Here is a 2986-nt window from a genome sequence, read left to right on the forward strand (position 1 = left end):
TATAAAAATATTCAGATATATCAGGAAAATATTATTATTTATCACTTACTGATAGCTAATAATACATTTCATGTTAGGGCTGAGCACTTAGAGAAATTTAAAATCTATTTCTTTCTAGATTTGTGATTTAAATTAAAAACCTGAAATGTGTTTTAAGTTCATGTTCAAACATTAAGAACTTTAAATTGGTGCTACAATCTGAATGTTTGTGTCCCCTCAAAATTCATATATCAAAATCTAATCATCAGTATACTGATCATCAGTGTATTAGCAGGTAGGGCCATTCAGAGATGATTTTTTTCACTTTTACATTTTATAATGGATTAGTGGCCTTATAAAAGACACCAGAGAACTAGCTTGCTTCTTCTACCATGTGAGGAAACATCTAGAAGGTGCCATCTATGAAGCAGGAAGCAGGCCTTTACTGACATCAAATCTGCTAGTACTTTGATGTTGGACTTTCCAGCCTCCAGAACTATGACGAGTAAATCTCTGTTGCTTATAAGCTATTTTCAGTTTACGGTATTTTGTTATACCAGCCTGAATGGACTAAGGCAGCTGGCAATCCATTTGTTGGGATTTGGAAGTGTGTTAAAAAGCACTTAAATTTGGTTTCTTCTGTTTCACACTGACTTAGTCTGCACTGAGTGAAACATAGCTCTAGGCAGTAAGTCCATTATCAATATTAAGGTTATTTCTTTTCAGTTTTTGGAGAAGAAGCAGTCATATTGTTGGCAAACTCACTTATGTTAAACAGTTGTCCTTATTTAAAAATAAATTAAAACCATTAAAAAAATCAGCGAAGAATTTGAGACTTTAAAAAAAAGAAAAACAGAAATTTCTTTTGACTTGCTTAGATTTAAGATTGACTGCCTAAACAAGAAGAGAACATTTCATTATTTCTCCATATTTTCCAACCTCTCTGTTAATAAAACTATGACCTTATACTTCTGAGATGGTAACTACTTCAGAACTATTAATTGCTTTTTTAAGTTTTTTTCTTTCCAAAGACTGCAAAAATAACCTACCTAAGAGCTGTTAATTATCATTAAACAGTGAACACAGACATTTTTAGAGGGTTTCTCAAAGTTGTGTCATGATTCCCAAGAACAAGAGGAGTTAGAGTTACATCAAGCATGAAACATGTGTTTTGAAAAGTGACTTGATTCACAGGGCTAGAACTTTGCATGGGAGCTGAAAAGACACTTTGTTTAGTTTTAGCAATAAATGAGATAAAGTTCCTGGTTTTGATATGTGGCTGCCTTGGAAAATAACATTTGGAGAATGTATATGAATCTGTAAAAACAAACACATACTATAGAGATCTTTTCAGCATGACTGGAACTGACAAAAATCCAGATGTTCTCTTTTTATGTTGTTGGATCACCACCAAAGAGCAAAAAATAGCACTGATCTCTGCTGACCGGTATCATTTGAAGAGGAAGTACTAGCCCTACGACAGCAGGAATTACTCAACATTCTTCAACAGAGGCCTGGAGATCCTCAAAATTTAACACATTCATGTGCACATATGAGTCCCGGTTACACTTGCAGTAATAAAAGTATTTGCTTAACTGCATAAATTATCAAGGTTGGCCACCATCTACCATCTATACGAACTCAAAGTAGCTAAATTATCAATTTTATTGAAGCTTCAGTTTTTATAACAAATCCTGAATAGGTAAGGCCTTTTATTCTTCTAAAAAAAAAAAAAACAAAAAACAGACTGTAAGATAAGTATATTTAAAAAGCCAAATACTTGCCCATCAGTAGCATGACAAACTGCCAATATGTAAGTTTGAACACAAATTTTAACCTTGCCATTCTCCACCCTCTTTTGCTGTGCCTCCTCCAAAGGCCATAGCTGGACAAACCTACCCTTCTATGGAGGCATAATTTCCTCTCTCTTTTCATTTTCCATTTTTTTAAAAGTAGAATTAAATAAAGTCTTAATTTAAAAAATAAAATATAGTAATAGTTGTAATAATTGAGAAACACTGTAAAACCAAAAGGATGTTTCATACCCAATAATTAGGTGTGTGTATCTGTGTGTGTGTGTGTGTGTGCATGCGTGTATTGGACATACACAATTTTCTGAAGTCTACTGAGGCAAATGCAGAGCAAGTGTGGGGTGTGTAGTCGGGGTGGAGGAGACTCAGGGGACCAGAAAAATATAAAGGGTGGGAAAAAAGAAACAATATGAAAGCTATGGGAAATCAACTACCTTTGCCTTCACAGAGAAATAAATAAGTCTATGGGAAGAGAAAGAGCAAAAAAAAAAAAAAAATGAAAACTATTCCCAAAGTAAAAATAAAACAACTGAGAATTAAAAGAATCAATAAAGGTTAAATCAGTGAGAAGGCAAATCTTTGAGAATTAAGAACACAAGCAATCAAAACAATAATTTCAAAGTCAGATGAAAAGTAAATCTTCATTATGCCTTATTTTGCCTTAAAATATAAAAATATGAAAAACAAAATTTTATAACAAAAAATTTAGATGTGTTAACTTTATCCATTTATTCCAAAAGATATATTAAGAGCATTCTGAAAAAAGATATGGGCTGATTTTATAATATTTCTTTAATTTTAAACTCATAGTTATCTACTCTATTATATATATTACATATATATAAAATTTAAAGTCATGTATAAAGAAATAAAACTGTTTAGAAAATAGAATACTGCTACAATTCCAATTAAGCTAACTTGTTACCTGGCCATTTATTGTAATAAGGAATATAGTTGTCTCAATAAACTAACTATTATTTAGTTTCCTTAATATCATTCCACTTCTGCACTGTGTAGAACATGGTTTTGGCTAAAGTCATATGATTTTAAAAAACCAACTTTTTAATAGTAAATTAAGATGACAACTCTAGGAAAGTGTGTGAAAAATTTTAAATATATCTTAAAGGTAATTTTATTTCTAGATACACCATAAATATAGTTTGAATACAAAAGAATAAATCAAACAATGCAACTCA

Source organism: Homo sapiens, chromosome 4, assembly GCF_000001405.40.
Source record: "Homo sapiens chromosome 4, GRCh38.p14 Primary Assembly".
Classification (NCBI taxonomy): domain Eukaryota; kingdom Metazoa; phylum Chordata; class Mammalia; order Primates; family Hominidae; genus Homo; species Homo sapiens.